The 24,700-nt window shown below is 43.5% G+C and overlaps 1 protein-coding gene across 5 annotated transcripts in view, besides 2 other annotated features; it reads right to left on the reverse strand.

Annotated features, from left to right (window-relative positions):
* USF3 (upstream transcription factor family member 3) overlaps window positions 1-15,768 on the reverse strand; it is a 48,258-nt gene extending 32,490 nt beyond the window's left edge. For all 5 annotated transcript variants that reach the window (NR_111981.2, XM_017005872.2, XM_017005871.2 and 2 more), the window contains exon 1: window positions 15,496-15,768. The gene's annotated coding sequence lies outside the window, so the exon portion shown is untranslated. The remainder of the gene's footprint in view (window positions 1-15,495) is intronic.
* Window positions 15,099-15,488: a silencer, noted in NCBI's record as "silent region_14608". NCBI's record gives its function as "represses an Ori minimal core promoter by ATAC-STARR-seq in GM12878 lymphoblastoid cells {active_cell/tissue: GM12878}" and the evidence as "EXISTENCE:reporter gene assay evidence [ECO:0000049][PMID:35858748]".
* Window positions 15,509-15,978: a silencer, noted in NCBI's record as "silent region_14609". NCBI's record gives its function as "represses an Ori minimal core promoter by ATAC-STARR-seq in GM12878 lymphoblastoid cells {active_cell/tissue: GM12878}" and the evidence as "EXISTENCE:reporter gene assay evidence [ECO:0000049][PMID:35858748]".

Consider the following 24,700-nt stretch of genomic DNA (forward strand, 5'->3'; position numbering starts at 1 on the left):
TGATCTTTACTTAATCTCTTCCACTAATTTTGAGTTTGGTTTGATACTGCTTTTCTAGTTTCTTAAGATGTACTGTTAGGTTCTTTATTTGAAGTTTTTCTACTTTTTATTTTTATTTTTGAGATAGACTCTCACTCTGTCACCCAGGCTAGAGTGCAGTGGTGTGATCTCGGCTCACTGCAACCTGCACCTTGCAGGTTCAAGCAATTCTCCCTACCTCAGCCTCCCGAGTAACTGGGATTACAGGTACCCACCAGCACGCCTGGCTAATTTTTGTAGTTTTTAGTAGAGATGGGGTTTCACCATGTTGGCCAGGCTGGTCTTGAACTCCTGACCCCAGGTGATCTGCCCGCCTCAACCTCCCAAAGCGCTGGGATTAAAGGTATGAGCCACCATGCCCAGCCTGAAGTTTTTCTACTTTTTTGATGTGGGTGCTTTCCTCTTATTACCACTTTTGCTATATCCCATAGTGTTTTGTATGCTGTGTTTCCATTTTCATTTAAGAAATTTTTTAATTTCCTTCTTAATTTGTTCATTGACCCACTAGTCACTCAGGAGCATATTGTTTAATTTCCCTGTATTCACATAGTTTCCAAAGTTTCTCTTATTATTGATTATAGTTTTATTCCACTGTGATCAGAGAAGATACTTGATATTATTTCACCACCACGACTGGCTAATTTTTTTTTTTTTTTTTTTGTATTTTTAGTAGAGACGGGGTTTCACCATGTTGGCCAGGCTGGTCTCAAGCTCCTGACCTCAGGTGATCCGCCTGCTTCGGCCTCCCAAAGTGCTGGGATTAGGCATGAGCCACCACACCCAGCAATATTATTTCAATTTAAAAAAAAAATTTTTTTTTTTTTGAGATGGAGTCTCACTCTGTCACCCAGGCTGGAGTGCAGTGGTGTGATCTTGGCTCACTGCAACCTCCACCTCCCAGGTTCAAGCAATTCTCTCCCTCAGCCTCCCGAGTAGCTGGGATTACAGGTACCTGCCACCACGCCTGGCTAATTTTTTTGCATTTTTAGTAGAGACGGGGTTTCACCATGTTGGCCAGGCTGGTCTTGAACTCTTGACCTTGTGATCCACCCGCCTCGGCCTCCCAAAGTCCTCGGATTACAGGCATGAACCACCAGGGAAACCCGGCTAAAAATGTTTTAAGACTTTGTCTGGGCACAGTGGCTCACACCTGTAATCCCATCACTTTGGGAGGCAGAAGTGGGAGGACTGCTGGAGCCTAGGAGTTCAAGACCAGCCTAGGCAATATAGTGAGAGCCTATCTCTACAAAAAATAGAAAAAATTATCCAGATAAGGTGGCATGTGCCTGTAGTCCCAACTACTGCAGAGACTGAGGTGGGAGAATCACTTGAGCCTGGGAAGTTGAGGCTGCAGTGAGCCATGATCGTGCCACCGCACTTCAGCTTGGGAGACAGAGTGAGACCCTGTCTTGCAAACAAAACAAAAAACAAACAAACAAAAAAAAAAAACACCACTTGCTTTGTGGCCTAACATAGGATCTATCCTTGAGAATGATCCATGTGCTGAGGAGAAAAATGTACATTCTGCAGCTGTTGGATGAAATATTCTGTAAATATCTCTTAAGTCCATTTGGTCAATAGTGCAAATAAGTCTAATGTTTGTTGATTTTCTGTCTGAATAATCTGTCCAATGCTGAAAGTGAAGTGTTGAAGTCTCCAACTATTATTGTATTGGGGTCTATCTCTCTTTGATATAGTAATATTTGCTTTATATATCTGGGTGTTCCTCTATTGGGTGCATATATATTTACAGTTGTTATATCCTCTTGCTGAAATGTTCCCTTTAAAATTATATAATGATGTTGTCTTTTTTCATAGTTTTTGTCTTGAAATCTATTTTATTTGATATAACTACTCTTGCTTTTATTTTGGTTTCCATTTGTATGCTATATCTTTTCCATCCCCTTATTTTCAGTCTATGTGTGTCTGTGTGTCTTCATAAGAGAAGTGTGTTTGTTGTAGGCAACAGATCGCTGGGCTTTTTTTTTTTTTTTTCCTTTTTAATCCATTCAGCCACTCTATGTCTTTGGATTGGAGCATTTAGCTCATTTACATTCAATATTATTATTGATAGGTAAAAACTTACTCCCACCATTTTGTTATTTGTTTTCTGGTTGTTTTATGGTCTTCTCTTCCTTCTCATGTCAGTGTTTTTCTCTGGTGGTACGTTTTAATTTCTTGCTTTATACATGTTGCGTATTTATTGTATTTTTCTGACCTGAGGTTACCATGAGGCTTGCAAATAACACCTTATAACCCATTATTTTAAACTAATGACAATCTAACTCTGATTGTAAAAACAAACAAGCCAAGAGAAAACTGATAAAAACTCTAGTTTTTAATCTATAAAAACTATTATCTAGTTTTTAATCTATAAAAACTATTATCTAGTTTTTAATCTATAAAAACTATTATCTAGTTTTTAATCTATAAAAACTATTATCTAGTTTTTAAAACTATAGTTTACTTCATGAACATAAGAGTAAACAGAAAATCTCAATCATTTTATTACATCAAATACAAAACTCTACACTTACATTTTATCCCCTGCTTTTTTTTTTTTTTTTTTTTTTTGAGATGGAGTCTCGCTCTGTCGCCAGGCTGGAGTACAGTGGTGCAATCTCAGCTCACTGCAACCTCCACCTCCCGGATTCAAGCAATTCTCCTGCTTCAGCCGCCCAAGTAGCCGGGACTACAGGCACGCACCACCATGCCCAGCTGATTTTTATATTTTTAGTAGAGATGAGGTTTCACCATGTTGGCCAGGATGGTCTTGATCTCTTGACCTCGTGATTTGCCCACCTTGGCCTCCCAAAGTGCTGGGATTAAAGGCGTGAGCCACCGTGCCCAGCCCATCCCCTGCTTTTTAACCTTCTGATGTTTCTACTTATATCTTATTACACTATGTCTTAAAATGTTGTAGTTATTATTTTTGATAGATTTGTCTTTTAGTCTTCCTATTCAAGACATGAGTATCTTACACACTAGAATTACAGTGTTAAAATATTCTGTATTTGTCTATGTATTTACTGTTACCACGTACCTTCAGACAATTTCTTATTACTTGTTAACATCTTTTTCTTTCAAGTTGAAGAACTCCCTTCAGCATTTCTGTAGGACAGGTCTGGTGTTGACAAAAAACCTCATCTTTTGTTTGTCTGGGAAAGTCTTTTTTTCCTCTTGATATTTGAAGTGTATTTTCACTGGATATAATATTCTAGGATAAAAGTCTTTTTCTTTCAGCATTTTAAATATGTCATCTGACTCTCTCCTGGTCTGTAAGGTTTCCACTGAGAAATCTGTGGCCAAACATATTGGAAATGCTTTATATCTCATTTTTTTTCTTTTCCTTGCTGCTCTTAGGATCCTTTTTTATCCTTGACCTTTGGGAGTGTGATTATTACATGTCTTGAGATAGTCTTCTTTGAGTTAATTTTTCTTGATCGTCTATAACCTCCTTGGACTTGAATACTGATATCTTTCTCTAGGTTTGGAAAGTTCTCCAATATTATCTCTTTGAATAAACTTTCTACCTCAATCTCTCTCTCCACTTCCTCTTTAAGACCAATAACTCTTAGATTTCCCCTTTTGAAGCTATTTTCTAAATCCTGTGGGCATGCTTCATATTTTTTTTCTTTTGCCTCCTCTGAGTATTTTCATATAGCCTGTCTTCAAGCTCGCTCATTCTTTCTTCTCCTTGATCCATTCTACTGTTGAGAGACTGATGCATTCTTTAGTTTGTCTATTGAATTTTTCAGCTCCAGAATTTCTGCTTGATTCTTTTTAATTATTTTAATCTCTTCATTAAATTTATCGATAGGATTCTGAATTTTTTCTCTGTGTTATCTTGGATTTTGTTAAGCTTCCTCAAAACAGCTATTTTGAATTCTCTGTCTCAAAAGTCACATATCTCTGCCACTCTGGAATTGGTCACTGGTGTCTTATTTAGTTCATTCAGTGAGGTCATGTTTTCCTGGATGGCCCTGATGCTTGTGGATGTTTGTCAATGTCTGTGCACCGAAAAGTTAGAAATTTATTCCAGTTTGTTTTGTCTGGCTTGTTTGTACCCATCCTTCTTGAGAAGGCTTTCTAAGTATTCAACAAGAATTAAGTGTTGTAATCTTAAGTCTTTGGTCACTGCAACCATATGTGCATTAGGGGGCACTCCCAAGTCCAGTAATGCTGTGTCTTTTGCAGAGGTACCACTTTAGCGGTCTTGAGTAAGATCCAGAATTCCCTAATGTATCAAGCAGAGTCTCTTGTTCTCTTCCCTTATTTTCCCCCAAGCAAATGGAGTCTCTTTCTTCATGCTGAGCTGCCCGGAGTTGGGGATGGAGTCACGCAATGCTCCTTTGGATAAACCCACTGAGACTGCTGGGACACACCTGAAGCCAGCACAGTATTGGGTTTCGCCCAAGGCCTGTGGCAACTATCTCCTGACTATCACTGATGTTTATTCAAGCCCAGGGGCTCTTTAGTCAGCAGATGATGAATCCTGCCAGGACTGGGTCTCTCCCTTCAGGGTCGTGGGTTCCATTCTGGCCCAGTGGGGGGTCTAGAAATGCACTCCAGGAGCCAAAGCCTGGAATCTTTAGGAGTCTACTTGGTGCTTTATTTTATTGTGGCTGAGCTGGTACCTGAGTTATAAAACAAAGTCCTCTTTATTCTTCCCTCTCCTTTTCTCAAGCAGGAGTCTCTCCTGATGGCCACCACAGATGAGAATTGTGCTGGGTCACACCTGAAATGAGCACAGTTTTGGTTCTTGCCCAGGGCCCATGGCAACTACTGCCTGGCTACTGCTGATGTTTATTCAAAACCCAATGGCTCTTTGGTCAGCAGGTGGTGAATTCTGCTAGGAGTGTACCCTTCTCTTTAGGGCAGTGGGTTCCCTTCTGGCCTAGGGTGGGTCTAGAAATGTCATCCAGAAGCTATGGTCTAGAATGGGGGCTTTATTTTACTGTAGCTGAGCTGGGATCCAAGTTGCAAGAAAAAAATCCTCTTTACTTTTCCCTCTTCTGCTGGAGCTGCAAGCTGTGATGTCTGGAGTTGGAGGAGTGGTGATGCAAGCACTCCTTTGGCCACCCCAGCTAGTATTTCACTAGGTCGTGTGCACCCCAAGTCCAGTGGCTCCAAGCCCAGTGCAGCACTAGGACTTGCACAGGAATTGCAGGCCTTGTGGCCTTTCAAGTTCATTTAGAACTCCAGAGCACTTTAGCCCTCAGTGGTGGGGCTAGCTGGAACTCATGTTCCAACTGATAGGATGGAAGATTCCCCTCTGGCAAGGGCTGGTCTAAATGCTCCCTCTGTGGGCATCAGCTGAATTCTGCCCTGTGTTGCTTTCCACTGTGACAGAGCAACACTGAATTCCAATGCAAAGTTGCACAATCACTTTGCTCTCCCTCCCCCAAGCACAGCGATTCTCTCTGCATGGCTGGGGAAGGGGGGAAGGGTGGTGTAGGCAATTCAAGGCTGTCTTTCCTACCATCTTCAGTGTCTCCTTCCTTGATATGATGCTAAAACTAGGTACTGTGATCACTCACCTGATTTTGTTTTCTTTGTACAGACAGGGTCTCACTATGTTGAGCAAACTGGTCTCAAACTCCTGGCCTCAAGCAATCCTCCACCTCCACCTCCCAACATGCCAGTATTACAGGTGGAAGGCACTGTGCCTGGCCACCTGATATTTGGTTCTTATGTGGATAGTAGTTCTGCAGCATGGGGGCAACTGCTGGAGGGTTCTATTCAGCCATCTTGCTCTGCCTCATCCCTTCCTCAGTGCTTGTGATCTATACATGACATCTTTCCCAGCTTCTCAACAATAATCACAGTAATTCTTACTTTCCTATTTTCTTATTCTTTTTGTTACTTAACTGGATTTTTTTCATTATACAAATGAAATATGCTTGTATTTATCTACTCAGATCATACCGAAGAAGTTGTGAAAAGAAGTACTCTTTTCCTCAAATTTCCTGTTAACACTATTCAAGTATTTATTTCTATATTACTATTTTCCCCTTTTTGTTCTTTATATTTTGGAAGTGAATACTAAGTCTAGCCCACACGCAAAGCGAGAAGAGTTAATCTCTACCTCTTGGAAAAAGGATTATGTATTTAGAATTATTCTGCAAGGAATATTTGTCACTTCTCCCCTATTTATTTATTCAATAATTTACTTATATCAGTATGGACTCATGGAGATTTATTTCATTCTTCAGATCACAATTCAATGCTAGAGTTAATATGTTGTTCAAATTGTCCACACATTGGCCATTGGGTGCTCTTTTGGATTAGCTGTTGTGCCCTTTACACACACAGTCACACACACACACACACACACACACACACACACACACCCCCTTTCTAGTACTTCCTTACTTTTTGGTACTACAAGATACTCCAGGCTCATCTTGTGTTTCCCCTGCCCCACTCTTAGAATCAGCTTTCCATCCAAGGAATTTTTGTCCCTTTCATTGGAGAATGGAATTTAGAAACCAAGATCCAGGTGCTGCCTGTCCTCATTGCTACTGGGGTGTCACTGCTTCCAAGCCTTCTCAGCAGACAGAGCTATTAAATAAATCTATGTCTATTAACCCATGTACAGACACAGATCTACATTTGCCTCTGTATCTATCTGTATTTATATTAAAATAAGCATGAGTTTATACTTACATCTCTGATTCTAATCTAGCACCACAGGGCTCAGTATAGTCTTCCCCCCTGCTTATTTGTAATATCTTTCTGACAGTGAGAAATCTGGCTCCCAATGTCTACAATTACTTTTACTAATTTCCTCAACTCTAATAACCATATAAATTGGTTCCAGAATGCTAACTCCACTCCTCATAGTTCTTTTAAGGATCAACTGACATCATACACATCCAAGGTCCTTTAAGGCAGGAACAACTTCGTCCTTTTATCCCAAGGGCTTAGCACAATACATGCACAATGTGTAACTCAAATGCTTATTGAATGAACAATGGTCTTCTGAAACTAGTATAGCTAAATTTATACAAATGTAAAATATTATTATAATCATTAACAAGCTTGCTTTGTAGTATAACTGTAAAACTGATTCCAGGGTCAGCTAATTCAAAGTTTAACTCTTTGGTCTTATGCTAGTCCCTTGATACATGATCACCTACCAGTAATGTTTTCTCCTCTGTTACTGAATGGCCCTGAGTGCCATCTGCAGGGAAGGCCCCCACTTTCTTTTTTTTTTTTTTGAGACGGAGTCTCACCCTGTCGCCCAAACTGGAGTGCAATGGCACGATCTTGGCTCTGTGCAACCTCCACCTCCCGGGTTAAAGTGATTCTCTTACCTCAGCCTCCCTAGTAGCTGGGATTACAGGCACTCGCCACCACACCCGGCTAATTTTTTGTATCTTTAGTAGAGATGGGGTTTCCCCATGTTGGCCAGGCTGGTCTCGAATTCCTGACCTCGTGATCCCCCCACCTTGGCCTCCCTAAGTGCTGGGATTATAGGCATGAGCCACTGCACCTGGCCAGAAGGCCCATTTTGAATTCACACTTAGCAAACCTAGTCTGTCTCTCATCAATTACTCCTAGAGCAGTGGTTCTGAAAACTGAATACTCATCAGAATTACCAGAATTCGTTTCCAGAGATTGGTTCAGTATATAGGATGTAGTGTTCTTGAGGGCAGGTATTTGAGTGTGTTTCATTCACCAATGTATTCTAAGTGCCTAGAATCATGCTAGGCACATAGTGGGTAATCAACAAGTATTTGTTGAATGAAGGAATGAGTGACTGAGGTGGTGTGCAAGAATTTTTCAAAACTCCTGAAATGATTCCAAAGCACAGCCACTGCGGTCATTAATACAGATGCTGGCTGGGCGCGGTGGCTCACGCCTGTAACCCCAGCACTTTGGGAGGCTGAGGCGGGTGGATCACGAGGTCAGGAGATTGAGACCATCCTGGTTAACATGGTGAAACCCCGTCTCTACTGAAAATTAGCTGGGCGTGGTGGCGGGAGCCTGTAGTCCCAGCTACTCGGGAGGCTGAGGCCGGAGAATGGTATGAACCTGGGAGGCGGAGCTTGCAGTGAGCCGAGATCATGCCACTGCACTCAAGCCTGGGCAACAGAGGGAGACTCCATCTCAAAAAAACAAACAAACAAACAAACAAACAAAAACCAGATGCTATCAAGCCCCCATGTACCTTTCACCTCACATCAATGAATGAAATTGTACAGTAAATAGGAATAGCCTTTGATGTCAGACTTGGGATCACATCTCAAAGCTGGCAGGTACTGGCTATCTGGTTTTGAAATAAGTACCCTTTAGAGTCTCAGCATCCTCACATTTAAAACTGGGAGAGTTTCACCAACTCCTCAGAGGACTGTTACAAGTTTACATGATGATACATTTTACCGATCTAGCAAAGTGCCTGGTACATAGCAGGTGCTCAATACGTGTTAGTTGACTTTCTTCCATTTCCCCCTTAATTTACTGAGAAGATAGAAGTCAAGTCATCTGGTCCAAGTTCCTTAACTGGATTCTACATTTACCGTAAATCCTATAAATCTATAAATCTATCCTTTCAGGCCTCCAGGACTTCTTAAAGTTAATTATTTGATCTGAGAAAAGGGAAACTATATTTGATTTTTTCCACTTTAGCACTATTTTCTCTCTTAACCAGCTCTCCTTCCAAAATGCAAGGATTTTCCTCATGTTAAACAAGAATTTACTGCCTTTTCTGCCTACAAGTCTATTTCTCTCCTCATGTTCCTGTGAAACTTCTCACCTCTCCAACTTGGCCAATCTCTCCTAAACCTTCTGGCTGCTCCAGCCAACCAAAGCTGCTTCCTTGGAGGTCAGGGGCTATTTTTCACCAATCATAGGTCATTTTCCTCTTGGCAGGATTTGAGGCTGCTGATCTCTCTCTTTCTTGAAATTCTCTCTCCTAGGTTATCTTTCTCCTCTCCAATTATGCATCCTCTTTCTCTAACATGAACGCTTTTCTTTCTCCTTTGAGTTCCAAGGCCCAACAATCTCTTCTCTTTTTCAGGTTTGCTTTTTCCCTACAAAGGTTTAAACTGCTTCTGTGCAAAAGCTTTTATGTTTTTGTAAGAAAGCTACCTTTCAACTCTGACTTTGCCCCTAATCTTTGGTTAGGCAAAGCTCTCTTCAGAACACTGCATTTTGAACAAATTAACAAGTCTGTTTGGAATGTGTTAAATTCCCTTTTCTCTTAAGAGATCTATTTCCAAGTTCTCCATTTTATCAATGACACCAAAAGTTTAACATGGATCTAGACCCAAAAATCTTCATATCTTCTCACCAAATTCTATCAATTGTTTTCATAATGTTCATCTCTTCCCCTTTGTTATGACCACCTTAGATTAGGCCCCATTTTACACGTCTGGCCTTAAGCAGTCTTTGTTATTGCCCTCAGCCTTTCTCCCATTTGATGGATTTTATACCCCAATGTCTCATCAGTCTTTTCAGTTCACCATATTTACCATGTCCTCTCCTGCTGCAGACTCTACAGTACTATTTCCCACAATCAACTGCATCATATCCAAACTCCAGGTCTTGGCATTCATGACTGTACCTTCTTCACTGGCAGGTCTCACCTACCCCCTTCCACCTAGTACAACACACATAAAAGCAGGTTTTCTAGCTAATTATGCCATCTACCCTTCCCTCCTCTTCAATTCAGACAGGTTTATCCCTGTGCGCCTTATCAGCTACTTCACTTTATGCTAAATTCATGCTATTTTCCCACTGAAATGACCTTTCCACTTTGCTCTGTTTATCCAAATCCTACCAACCCTTTAAAGTCCGGTGCAAGTCTATCCTCCTATATAAAATCTTCCCTAATATTTCTAGCAAAACTAAACCCTCTACCTATACTCTGGACTCTATCACTCTCGCTACTTAGTAAACTTCTTACATAATGTCCCTTTTCTCTCATATATTATTAATCCCTCCTTCTCTCTTAGTGCCTTTCCATTAAAAATATCCTTATTCAGGGCCAGGCACGGTGGCTCACACCTGTAATCCCAGCACTTTGAGAGGCCAAGGGAGGTGGCTCACTTGAGCTCAGGAGTTTGAGACCAGCCTGGGAAACAAGGCAAAACCCCATCTCTACCAAAAATACAAAAAATTAGCCAGGTGTGGTGCTGCAAACCTGTAATCCCAGCTAATCAGGAGCCTGAGGTAGGAGGATGGCTTGAGCCCAGGAGGCGAAGGTTCCAGTGAGCCAAGATCGCACCACTGCACTCCAGCCTGGGAGACAGAGTGAGATCCCATCTCAACAAAAATAAAAATAAATCCTTATTCAACTTTTTCCATGTAAAAACCTAAACTGATTTTTCTCCTGACCTTGCAACTCCCCACAGGTGTCCCCATTCTTCCTCCCAACCACCAGTCTTCTTGAACAAGTTGTTTACACTTACTACCCCCTCTTCCTCACTTCTTATTCACTCTTCAACCAGCTGTTACCTGACTTTTATTCCTAAAACTGCTTAAACCAAGCTCAACAAAAGACTTCCACACTGCCAAATCCGATGAACTTTGTAATAAATCTGTTGTTTTGGCCTTCTGACAATAATATCCTGCCTTTCCTTCGGAGATCTTCTCTGTCCCATTCCTGAAATCTGATAGGACCATCAAACACAGGCTCACCTCTGGGGTGGGCATGGGGCTAACTAATAAGACTCCCTGCACAAGGAGAATATCTTGCTGAGGCTGAGTTAGCCCCATGGATCCTTATGATCCTGGGAGCTTCTGTTTTCCTGGCCTTCCCAAGCCTTCATTATTCTATCTCCCTTTCTTTCTGTGAGTTTATCCAGTATCCATTTGCTGCTTAGCCAAATTCAATCTCTATTGTTTATAACCAAAGAGAAACTGGTCCCTCAAATGACACAGAGGTAGACAGCGGTGACACTACAATTTCTTCTCCTTATCTCCTTCTCTTTGGTTTCTGCTGTTTAAGGAATTCCTGAGAACTCTTCATTATCCTCTTTAAAGATTTCTCTGACCCCTAGAGCAGTGGTCCCAACCTTTTTGGCACCAGGGACTGGTTTCGTGGAAGACAATTTTTCCATGGACAGGGAGTGGAGCAGATGGTTTCAGGATGAAACTGTTCCATCTATCTCAGGCATTAGATGATCATAAGGAACATGCAACCTAGATCCCTTGCATGTGTGGTTCAGAATAGGGCTCGCACTCCTATGATAATCTAATGCTGCCGCTGATCTGACAGGAGGGTAGCTCATCTCCTGCTGTGCGGCCTGATTCCTAACAGGCCACTTGGGGACCCCTGCCTTAGAGGTTAGACTAAATACCCTTCTTCATACTCCCAAACATCCTAATACTCCACAATGTCTTAACATGAAATACAATCTATATACTTACTAGTTTTCACCACCAGACTATAATAAATGGTAGAAACTTATTACTCCATTACTGAGTGCTAATTATTGAGAATACAAATATGTAAAAAATTCATATTATTCATATTACTGAGAATACAAACATGAAAAAAAATTTCATGTTTGTATCCTCAACAATTAGCACTCAGTAACTGAGTAATAAATGTCTGCTGAAAGAATATCTGGTCTTTCCTTTTTTTTGTATTAATCATTATGTCATAGATTTTACATACTTATGTTTAATTTAGCATCTAATGAATACTCCATTGAGTTCCTTAAACAATCCTAATAAGTCTAAAACGTTCTTATGAGCTGAGTCCACCATTTACTATTTCTGTATTCTCTTCAGTACCTAACAGTGTTGGGCACATGGTAAATAATAAATACTTGGTGAACTGAATTAAAAACACAGTATTAGCACACTAATAGAAACAACTTATCATGTCCTACTGATCTAATTAAAAGATCTGGCCTTCTGAAGTAGTGCAATTGTCCCCATATGGAAATTTTAATGAGAAAAAGAAAAATTATCCAATTGGACAGTTAACCACGTTTCTTTTAGCAAGAGTTCCACAAATATTTTATGAATAATAAATGTATACCTTTACAGCACAGAGTAAAAGACTCAGGACACATATATGCCTGTGCATACTGGAAGGAAGATTACATATTTAAGGGGTCTGTCACAACTACAATCACTTAGATTCTACTAACCTTTAACAAATCTATAATAGGAGTATAGGACATAAAAATATTTAATAGCAAAATCAATTAATGCCAAATCAACTTACGTTCAAGATGTATATGGCTATCTTTTTATAATATATAACATGGCAGTCATTTACTCATTTAAGAACATTTATTAACTGCCTAGTAATCACAAATACAATGTTAGGTCCCAAAAATACAAAGATAAAAAGAACACATTTCCTATGTTAGTGGAGTTCTATTTCTGCCATGTTGCAATGGTATTCAAGAATATGTGAATGGTACCCCCTGGAGTTGCTCAACATGGAGGCCCTGGTTAGCAGTATGGTGGGGAAGGCATATAAACACATACTTATGGCAGTGTGCTAAGTGCTAGCACAGAAACAAGTACAACTGTTACGGGGCCACGGAAGATAAATCATCTACTAATGAAATTAAGAAAAGATATGAAAAAAACGGATGTCTATACAGGAATTCAATGCTAGTTAAGGTATGATGAAGCTACTAACATACCTAAGATGAAATCAAACCTAAAACTATGGTTGCAGGAAGAGTCAGAAGGGTTCCAAACCAAACCAATCCAACTTAAAACCACTGTGAAAGAGATGAAAAATAAAATATTCCTTAGCATAACATTTGAGAACAATGAAACACATACACATAGAACTTAAACTGCCACATACCGTAAGCCTAAAGAGAATCTTTTAACCATGTAGCATAGAAGTTCAAAGGGGGTCGATCACTAAGAACTAGAGTAAGCTATCCAGAAAACTTTCATAAAAGTGTAATTAGAACTATTATTGGCGGTAGGGAGGAATAGAGGAAAGGTGTCCATATCCTGAGAAAGGTCAACGTCAACGTCTGTAGCAAAAGCAGTGGGGGGAAAGTTGGACACATGAGTGAGGCCTGATTTAGGAAAGCCCAGAACACAAGCTTAGCTTTTGGACGTAGTCTCATGGGAGTTCTCAGCCAGGGCTACTGAACAGAATCACCTGGAGAGCTTTAAAAAATATGCCCATGGCAGAGCTTTACTCCAGATCAAAAATAAGAGAGTTTCTGAGGGAAGTGGCCTGGGCATTAAAACTTAAAGACACACAAGGTGATGCTCATGTACAGTCTGGATTGAGAACTACTGGACTAGAGAACAGAGAGGTAAAGCATGACAGATATGATTAAGGCTCAAGCTTGATTTAAGACCCTGTTTATAAGCAACAAACTTGAGCTGATTACCTGTTGAAGCTTGTATTCTAACCTGAGTTAAAAATTCTCAGTTTTCTTAGTGTTTCTTTTCCCTTGTTGACAAGGCTAAGCTCTGAAAATAGGAAAAGTACCCATCAATTTCTCATACATGACTGGTTCATTGAGTGTAAGGTCTACAACCTTAGAATTTTACTTCCACGATGTTCCATAGACGACTAACCTAGAAGATAAGTACTTCAATTCTAAGCTGCTCTTACATCCCTGCAATGCACTCCTTTTATATCAGCGAATGTTCTAGGCTGCATCCAGATTTTGCAAAACTCCTAAATACAGGGAGATCCCAATACCTATGTACACCTAAGTCTTTTAGCTTAGACCAGGAGTGTCCAATCTTTTGACCTCCCTGGGGCACACAGGAAGAAGAAATGTCTTGGGCCACCCATCAAATACACTAACACTAACGATAGCTGATGAGCTTAAATAAATAAGTAAATAAATATCACACACAAACATCTCATAATGTTTTAAAAAGTTTACAAATTTGAGGCCGGGCGCAGCGGCTCATGCCTGTAATCCCAGCACTTTCGGAAACAGAGGCAGGCGGATCACCTGAGGTCAGGAGTGCAAGACCAGCCTGGCCAACATGGAGAAACCCTGTCTCTACTTAAAGAAATAAAAATTAGCTGGGCTGGTGGCATGCACCTGTAATCCCAGCTACTCAGGAGGCTGATGCAGGAGAATTGCTTGAACCCAGGAGGCGGAGGTTGCAGTGAACTGAGATAACACCACTGCATTCCAGCCTGGGCGACAGAGTGAGACTCTGTCTCAAAAAAAATAAAAGAAAGTTTACGAACTTGTCTTCTTGTCTTGGGCCGCATTAAAAGCCGTCCTTGGACGGGGGTTGGAAAAGCTTGGCTTAGGCTAAAGCAAAACTGCTTTAGGATTAAGCATTCATTCTTGCATGGATACATTACACTACTTCTGCTTTCAGAAGTGCAATTACAATGTATTTTACTTCTTTTGTAACAAATACTTTGAGTACTTAAAGAGAAACAACACATGTATCCCAAACAGCAACTCTGTACTATGTTAAACAAGAGTTCTATGGGAGAGAAAAAAGTCATCAAGGTGAATGGAGAGTAGGACAGCCTGTTGATCCTTCAAAAGGCAGGTTTGTCTGTTTGGTTTTCTTTACAAAAGAGCAAACCTGGGAATATGTTTCAGGATCCATGTAACTCACCGTAAGATTTATTCAAGAAATCTGTACGTTGTTTATAGGTAAGGAAATGTCTTCTTTGCCTACACAGTTGGCCACGACTGTCTTGATCTGTGTGGTGTTAGGTTACTGTATCTACTTGATGGTAAAAATGTTACAAGAACGGAAGTTGAAATTCTGCACTTTGGTTTATGCAGTCTCATATTTCCAGATAAAGTTAATAAACGCAAAGGACCATATCCCAATGTAACGAGGAGGGTTGGGAGGACAAGCTTCAAGAACGAGTGGGGTGAATTCAACTATCAAAATTGTAAACATGAACAAGAGTCCAGGAATCTTATATTTCATCCGGATACATGAAAGTAGATTTCAAGAGTTGGTCATTCACTTGCACTGCTTCTACTCAGAAAGCAAAAGAACGGCTTCTAAAAAGAAAACACAAGCCTAACACTTCGACAGAGGGGTGAGAGGGAAAAAGCAAGCCACATGAGTCTGACGAACGGGTACGAAAGAAATTCAGAGGGCAAGGAAAGAAGGGGAATGAAGAAGACAGGAAAAGGTGAAGGAGGCGGGCAAAGGCCATCTGGTGTGAACCTGGCTGCCCAGCTCTTTATGCACCCAGGGCAGCGTGGGGCCCCTCTCGCCCCGCGCGCATCTAGGAGCTGGGGCGCAGTGCGAGCCCCCCACGGGCCTGGCAGCCGGGGACGCAGGGCGGGCGGGAGATGAGGGGTGCGCTCGCCGCGGGCGCTGACGCCCCACCAGGTGCCGCACGCAAGGGTCCCCAGGAAGGAGGCGCACTTAGCGCAGCCCTGGCCTCCCGGAGCAGGAAGGGGGTGGGTGGAGCTGAGCCCGGGGCCGCCCTCCGGAGCCGCCCCCGCAGCCCTGGCCCCCGCCCCCCGCCCCGGCTGTCAGCGGCCCCCTCCCGCAGTCACTTACCCGCCGGCTGCGCGGTCTCGGCCGCGGTGGCGGCGGCGACGGCGGCGACCCCCGCCTGGGTCATGATCCCAGGAGGGGAAGGCAGGAGTGTCTGACCGTCTGGGCGAATCTCTCCGTCCGCGGCCACCGCCTGCTCCTCCGGGGCTGGGGGAGCGCGGGCCCAGGCCCTCCTCTCCCCCCGCCCCCGCCGCCTCTTTTTGCGGCCACCGCAGCCGCTGCGAGCCCGAGCCCTCAAGGCCGGAGACCCGGCGGCAGCGCGGCCTCAACTTTCCCAGCCCCCCTCCCCCCGCCCCTCCCCGCCCCTCCCGCGGCCGCAGCTCAGCAAGCGAACAGCCTACCCTGGGCGCGCCGCGTTCCCGCCTCTTTCACTCAACCCGCCAATCAGGCTGCGGGAACGCTGCCGTGGTAGCCAATAAGAAGACAGAATGCCGTTGCACTACGCTAGAGGGCGGGAGGAGGCGGAGAGGAAACCAAGGAGTGAACGGGGATCGGGCGGCCCAATGAGGAGGGCCGGGGGGCGGAGGTGTGCAAGTTGGGTTGAAGAAACAGGAAATATTCTTAAAGGTAGAGTGACGGACAGGAAGGAAAGCCAGTAGGTGAATGGGAAAGAGGTGGGCCTGGTTCCTTAAAGGGGACGCCTTGAGAACCTAGAAAAGAAGGTGTTTTAAGAAACTTCTTTGTATCTTCTTCTGTGGTCTCTTTTCTTCGTCTTTCGGTAGGAGTTTGGAAGTGGAAAAATTGAAAAGGAAGAGGGCACGGAAGTCTTTCGGAATAGTTAGCCCCTCTTAACGTGGAGGGCAGGAAGGTGAGAAGATACGTCTTAGTAAATGTGGAGAAGAAAGAATCAGACGTTTCCGACTTCTCGATAACTGGAAGATTGTTGCTGACTTGACGCTGCTCGCATTCGTAGGCTGTGGTCTCTTGTCATCCTTTATTTGCAACAACACACAGATTTCTGTGAATTGGAGATGGCCATGTTCAGAAATGCCCTGGGGGCCTCCCAGCTGGGACAAGGGAGTTTGGCATTGGGGGATGGGGTTTGAGATCTCAAGCCTGGGTTACTAAATACCTGGATCTAGGAGAGGTAGGGCCAGGGGTCACGAAATGGAGACCTGAGTGCCCCTTAACTCCAGGATCTGTGTGGAGCCCTTGGAACCGTGATCACAACTCCCTCTTCCTAGTTTCGCTTCATATTTTATAACCTCCTGCTGAAACAGGTGTCCTCCACCTAGTTGCGGTTATAGATTTCCAAGCCCTTCCACAACCAGATTTGGAAATATCCCAGATCTTAGATGTCCGTGGGCTAACTTCCAGAAGGTGCACACAGGGCATGGCATAATGGGAATTACTTGAGCCTGTATACAGAAGCAGCAGACATCGCATTGAGCAAAAGGGTAAAGGCTAACAGTAACGGAGTCTTATGTTTGTACAGCAGATTGAAAAGCTATGATGAAACGGAAGGCCTGTAATGTTGCTTATAAACTGTGGTACTAATAAACAGGCTAGAAATTTTCTTTAACTCATCCATCTAGGCACACGAAGTTCTAATTAGCCTTTGAACAGACTTGGCACATCCAAATCAAAACTGCAGATAAGAAAGATTCTACGAGTCAGAGCCATAATAGCAATGCTAATAACATCACCATAAAATTGTATAGTATTGGTATGCTCAGCCATAGGAAACAATTTCCAGTGTGTTCAGAATACAAGGTATTTCTCGTTAACAAATATCATATCCAGGGTGTGCATGATTTCCTAAACAACTGCAATGCATCAATTCTAAAGTAAAAACAAATAGTTTTGATGATTCATGAAACAGAATTTAACCATTCCTTTAGATCACCTTTAAAAAATACACATTAATATATTTCTGGCACGATATAGACGTAGAAAAGAAGAACAATTTCCGTTTGATAAAGATCAGAATATTAGCTTTTTAAATTAATCCTTATTACCTAAGTGTAGCCTAAATCCCAAACAGGGATTTTTCTCTTTTCTTTTCTTTTTCTTTTCCTTTTCTTCCCTTTCCCTTTCCTTTCCTTTCCTTTGTTTTCCTTTCCTTTCCTTTGTTTTCTTTCTTTTCTTTTTTCCTGCGACAGGGTCTCCCTCTGTTGCCAAGGCTGAAGGTCAGTGGCACTGTAACAGCTCACTGCAGCCTCCACCTCCCAAACTCAAGCGATCCTCCCACCTCAGCCTCCCAAGTAGCTGGAACCACATGCCCGGCAATTATTTTTTTCTTTTGGATAGAGATGGGGGTCACATTATGTTGCCCAGGCTGATCTTCAACTCCTGGGCTGAAGCCCAGAGATCTTTTTTTTTTTTGGCTTTACCCATTCAACATCAGTTTCAGATAATCACACCAGTCCTATTTTCAAACTAGCTGGCAGTGCTTACAGTGACCTATATTGGTGGTAAAATATACTGGCCAAGTGAAACTGGTCTATAGGGCTGTTAGTTCATTTTTTTCAAGTGGACAGAGTGAATCTGATTTTCACCCACATTCTTGAGACTTTTCAATGGTGCTGAAAGACTATTTGCATGATATATAAGTACTTCCTTGCATCCCCAGTTTCATATCAAGACCTCCGTTTTTTCCTACTACTGGAGATGAGTGACTGCGGGAGGAGGCTACTGAAAGCCTGGGGCGGCGGCCAGAGCTGCGGGGAGGCCCCGGCCTCAGCTCCACCCACCCCCATCCTGCTCCAGGAGGCAAGAACGCGCAAAGTGAGCCTCCTTCCTAGGGACTACTGTGTGCGGTACCTGGGGGGTGCCAGCGCCCGCGGGGTGCGCACCCCTCTTTTCCCCGCCTGCCCCGCGTCCCCGGCTGCCAGGCCCGTAGATGCGCGCGGGGCGACAGGGCTCCCATGCTGCCCTGAGTGCATAAAGAGCTGGGCAGCCAAGTTTACACCAGGTGACCTTTGCCCGCCTCCTTCACCTTTTCCTGTCTTCTTCACCCCGTCTTCTTTTCTTGCCCTCTGATTCTCTTTCGGAACCACTCGACTCCTGTAGCTTGCTGGGTTTTTTTAGTTTTTCTTGTGTGTTTGTTTTTTGAGACGGAGTCTTGCTCTGTCGCCCAGGCGACTCACTGCAACTTCTGCCTCCCGGATTCAAGCGATTCTCCCGCTTCAGCCTCCTGAGTAGCTGGGATTACAGGAGCACGCTGCCACGCCCGGCTAATTTTTTTGTATTTTTAGTAGAGATGGGGTTTCACCATGTTGGCCAGACTCGTCTCGAACTCCTGACCTCAGGCAATCCGCCTGCCTTGGCCTCCCAAAGTGCTGATTTCAGACGTGAGCCACAGCGCCCGGCCTTTTTTTTTTTTTTAATGGAGTCTCGCTCTCACCCAGGCTGGAGTGCAGTGGCACGATCTCGGCCCACTGCAACCTCCAGCTCCGAGGTTCCAGCGATTCTCCTGCCTCAGCCTCCCGAATAGCTGGGACTACAGGCGTGCGCCACCACACCCAGCTAATTTTTCGTCGTTGTATTATTTATTAGAGACAGGGTTTCACCATAATGGTCAGGTTGGTCTCAAACTCCTGACCTCGTGATCTGCCCACCTCGGCCTCCTAAAGTGCTGGGATTACAGGCGTGAGCCACGGCGCCCGGTCACTTTTTAACTCTCACTTCTCTGTCAAAGTGTTAGGCTTGTATTTTCTCTTTAGAAGCCATTCTTTTGCTTTCTGAATAGAATAAGTGAATGGCCAGCTCTCTTTTTTTAATTATTTTTTTAGAGATAGGGTCTCACCCTGTTGCCCAGGCTGAAGTGCAATGGCATGATCATAGCTCACTGCAACCTCAACTCTTGGGCTCAAGGAATCTGCCTCAGCCTCCCAAGTAGCTAGGACTACAGGCACTTGCCACCACACCTGGCTAATTTAAAAAAAAAAAAAAAAATTGTAGAGACCAGGTCTCACTATGTTCCACAGACTGGTCTTGAACTCCTGGCCTAAAGGGGTCCTCTCTTCTGCCCTCCCAAACGACTAGAATTATAGGCGTAAGCAACCGCTCCCGGCCTAAATGGCCAGCTCTTGAAGCCTACCTTCCATATTTCCCAAAGAAACTGCCCAACTTTTACCCAATGCGGTCATAATATTTGTTTCCACATTCCCAGTGGCAATATACATGGGCTCCAGATATTCCGCAGCATGGCCAACACTTGATATTGTCACTCTTTTTTTTAATTCTAGCCATTATAGTGAGTGTAAATGGTATCTCATTGTGATTTTAATTTCCATTTCTTGGCTGGGCGGGGTGGCTCACACCTGTAATCCTAGCACTTTGGGAGGCCAAGGCAGGCGGATCACCTGAGGTCAGGAGTTCGAGACCAGCCTGGCCAACATGGTGAAACCCCATGCCTACTTAAAATACAAAAATTTGCCAGGCATGGTGGCAGGGGCCTGTAATTCCAGCTACTTAAGAGGCTGAGGCAGGAGAATTGCTTGAACCTGGGAGGCAGAGATTGCAGTGAGCTGAGACCGCACCATTGCACTCCAGCCTGGGCAACAAGAGCAAAACTCCATCTGAAAAAATAATAACAATTCGCCCATTTAAAAATCAATATGTTTGTCTTACTGAATTGTAAAAAATATTTAGGTGCTTTGGATAAAAGTTCTCTCTCAGATATGTGTTGTGCAAATACTTTCACCCAGTCAGTAACTTGCTTTTTATTTGCTTAAGAATGTCAATAAAAAAAAAATAATAAAACAAAATACAGGCATACCTTAGGGATATTTTGGGTTGGATTTCAGACCACCACTATAAAGAGAATATTACAAAAAAGCAAGTCACACACATTTTTGGTTTCCAAGTGCATATAAAAGTTACGCTGGGCCAGGCACTGTGGCTCATGCCTGTGGATTGCTTGAGCCCAGGACTTTGAGACCAGACTAGGCAACACAGTGAGACCTCATTGCTACAGAAAAATTAACAAATAAAAAAATGAGGCGAGAAGATCACTTGAGACTGAGGTCAAGGTTACAATGAGCCATGATCTCACCACTGCACTTCTGCCTAGGCAACAGCAGTGAGACCCTGTCTCACTAAAAAAAAAAAAAAAAGTTATGGCTTGCCAAGTGCATTGGCTCAGGCTTGTAATCCCAACACCTTGGGAGGCTGAGGTGGGAGGATCACTTGAGGCCAGGAAATCCAGACCAGCCTGGATGACAAAGAGAGACCCTGTCTCTACCAACAATAAAAAATTGTAAATTAGCTGGTAGCATGCACCTACAGCCCCTGCTACTTGGGAGGCTGAGGTGGGAGGATTGCTGGAGCCCAGAAGTTTCGGGCTGTGGTGAGTTATGATCATGCCGCTGTACTCCAGCCTAGGCAACAGAGTGAGACCCCATCTGTTAAATAAATAGATAAAATTTTAAATTTAAAATGTTTTAAATTAAATTAAAATTGGAGTCAGTCTTCTCAAACCCTGTTGCTGCTTTATCAAATAAGTTTATGTACTATTCTAAATTCTTTGATTTCAACAATGTTCACAGCATCTTCACCAGGAGTACATTCTATCTCATGAAACTACTTTCTTTGCTCATCCTTAAAAAGCAACTCCTCAGCTGGGCGCAGTGGCTCACACCTGTTATCCCAGCACTTTGGGAGGCCGATGTGGGAGGATCATGAGGTCAGGAGTTCGAGACCAGCCTAGCCAACATGGTGAAACCCCACCTCTACTAAAAATACAAAAATTAGCCGGGCATGGTGGCACGCACCTGTAGTCCCAGCTACGCGGGAAGCTGAGGCAGGAGAATCACTTGAACCCGGGAGGCAGAGGTAGTGAGCCAAGATCACGCCACTGCACTCTAGCCTGGGCGAGAAAGCGAGACTCCGTCTCAAAAAAAAAAAAAAAAAAGAGCAACTCCGCATGTATTCAAGTTTTATCATGAGATTGCACCAATTCAGTCTCATGTTCTGGCTCTACTTTTAATTCTAGTTCCCTTGCTATTGCCACCACATCTGCAGTTATTTCCTCCACTGAAGTCTTGAATTCTTCCCTCAAAGTCATCCATGAAAGCTGGAATCAAGTTCTTCCAAACTCCTGTTAATGTTGATATTCTGGCCTCCTCCCATGACTCACGAATGTCCTTTATTTTTTTTTTTTTCCGAGACGAAGTCTCACTCTGTTGCCCAAGCTGGAGTGCAGTGGCGCAATCTCGGCTCACTGCAACCTCTGCCTCATGGGTTCAAGCAATTTTCCTGCCTCAGCCTCCCGAGTATCTGGGATTACAGGCAGGCGCCACCATGTCTTGGCTAATTTTTGTATTTTTAGTAGAGACGGGGTTTCACCATGTTGGTCAGGCTGGTCTGGAACTCCTGACCTTGTGATCTGCCTGCCTCGGCCTCACAAAGTGCTGGGATTATAGGCGTGAGCCACTGTGCCTGGGGCACGAATGTTCTTTTTTTTTTTTTTTTTTGAGATGGAGTTTCACTCTTGTTGCCCAGGCTGGAGTGCAATGGCACGATCTCGGCTCACCGCAACCTCCACCTCCCAGGTTCAAGCGATTCTCCTGCCTCAGCCTCCCCAGTAGCTGGGATTATAGGCATGTGCCACTACGCCCAGCTAATTTTGTATTTTTAGTAGAGACGGGGTTTCTCCATGTTGGTCAGGCTGGTCTCGAACTCCCGACCTCGGGTGATCCGCCCGCCTCGGCCTCCCAAAGTGCTGGGATTACAGGCGTGCAGCCGCGCCCGGCCACGAATGTTCTTAATAGTATCTAGAGGCCGGGCACAGTGGCTCATGCCTGTAATCCCAGCACTTTGGGAGGCCAAGGCTGGCAGATCACTTGAGGTCAGGAGTTTGAGACCAGTCTGGCCAACATGGAGAAACCCCGTCTCTACTAATAATACAAAAATTAGCAGTATGTGATGGTGCATGCCGGTAATCCCAGCTACTCGGGAGACTGAGGCAAGAGAATCACTTGAACCCGGGAGGCAGAGCTTGCAGTGAACCGAGATTGCGCCACTGCACTCCAGCCTGGGCGACAGAACGAGACTCCATCTCAAAAAAAAAAAAAAAAAAAAGCCTGTAGAATGGTGAAGCCTTCCCAAGAAGGTTTTCAATTTACTTTGCCCAGATCCATCAGAGGCCTCACTATATTAGGGGACTTCACAAAGTTAGTGGAAGGCCAGGCACGCTGGCTCACGCCTGTAATCCTAGCAATTTGGGAGGCTGATGCAGGAGGACTGCTTGAGCCCAGGAGTTTGAGAACAGCTTGGGCGACTTGGTGAAACCCTGTCTCTACTAAAAATCTAAAAATTGGCTGGGCATGGTGGCACGTGCCTGTGGTCCCAGCTACTTAGGAGGCTGAGGTGGGAGGATTGCTTGAGCCAGGAGGTCAAGGCTTCATTGAGCCAGTACATACCACTGCACTCCAGCCTGGGCAACAGAGTAAGACCTTGTCTCAAAAAAAAAATTGTGGAAAAATGGAATTAAAAGATAAAAATTGAAAATATAAACATGATTTCTTGATTTCTTTTTCTTTTTTTTTTTTTTTTTTGAGACAGAGTTTTGCTCTTTTTGCCCAGGCTGGAGTGCAATGGCGTGATCTAGGCTCACTGCAACCTCCGCCTCCCAGGTTCAAGCAATTCTCCTGCCTCAGCCTCCTGAGTAGCTGGGACTACAGGTGCGTGCCACCATGCCCAGCTAATTTTTTCTATTTTTAGTAGAGATGGGGTTTCACCGTGTTAGCCAAGGTGGGCTAGATCTCCTGACCTCGTGATCCACCCACCTCAGCCGCCCAGAGTGTTGGGGTTACAGGCGTGAGCCACCACACCCAACCATAGACATGATTTCTTAACATAAAATCTCCATCAACTTCAAGATACTTTTGTAAGCAACAATACCAGCAATTTAGCCCATCCCTAAAGAACTGAGAGTCCTGGGAATTTAACCATGACAATTCAGTATTTTTAACTAATTATTAACTGAAGAAATGTGAGTTAGGAAACAAAAAGAAGTGATAAGGAGCCAAACCAGGACTGTAAGGTGGATGCCTAGTGATTTCCCATCAAAACTCATGCAAAATTGCCCTTATTTGATTAGAGGAATGAGCAAGAGCATTGTTGTGTTGAAGAAGGACTCTCCAGTGAAAGCTCACCTGGGGGATTTTTCTGCTCAAGCTTTGGTTAACTTTCTCAAAACATTCTCATAATTAGCAGATGTTACTATTTTTTTGGCCCTCCAGATAGTCAACAAGCAAAGTGCCTTAAGCATCTCTTGACCAGTTCACTTGTGCTTTGACTGGACCACTTCCACGTCCTGGTAGCCACTGCTTGGATTGTGTTTTGTCTTCAGGACCACACTGGTAAAGCCATGTTTCATGTCCTGTTAACAATACTTTGAAGAAATGCTTCAGGATCTTTGCCTCACTTGTTTAAAATTTCCATTGAAAACTTTGCTCTTGTCTGCAACTGATCTGGGCACAACAGTTTTGGTACCCATCATGAAAGGGAAAGTTGCCTCAACTTTAATTTTCAGTCAAAATTATATAAGTAGAATCCATTGAGATGTCTATAGTGTTGGCTATTGTTTCTGTTGTTAAATCATTGGTCCTCTTCAATTAGGGCATGAACAAAATTTTTTCTTCACAAATTGATGTGGATGGTCTGCAGCTATGGGCTTCATCTTCAACATCACATCATCCCTTCCTAAAATTATAGATTTGTAAACTGTTGATTTATTTGGGGCATTGCCCCCATAAACATCTTGTAAAGCACCAATGACAATGATTTTACCATTCTTCCACCCAAATGTCACCAAAAATCGTGTTTTTGTTTGTTTTTTGAAACAGGATCTCACTCTGTTACCCAGGCTGTAGTACAGTGGTATAAACACGGCTCACTGCAGCCTTGACCTTCCCAGCTTAAGGGATCCTCACACCTCAACCTCCCAAGTAGCTGGGACTACAGGTACATGCAACCATACTTGGCTAAGTTTTGTAGTTTTTGTAAGAGGTAGGGTTTCATCATGTTGCCCAGGCTGGTTTATTTTGGTGTGAAAAATTTTTGAAATCCATGTGCATAGCTTTTCATAATATGAATTTTCCATGAACTTTTTGGAGACCCCTGTTTTTGTTGGCTACAGCCTTATAAAATGTATTTCCTGAATAATGAGACTTAAGAGTTGAAATTACTCCTTGATCCATGGGCTGCAGAATGGATACTGTGTTAGCAGGCATGAAACATTAACCTCCTGCACATCTCC

Source organism: Homo sapiens, chromosome 3, assembly GCF_000001405.40.
Source record: "Homo sapiens chromosome 3, GRCh38.p14 Primary Assembly".
In the NCBI taxonomy this organism is placed as follows: Eukaryota; Metazoa; Chordata; class Mammalia; order Primates; family Hominidae; genus Homo; species Homo sapiens.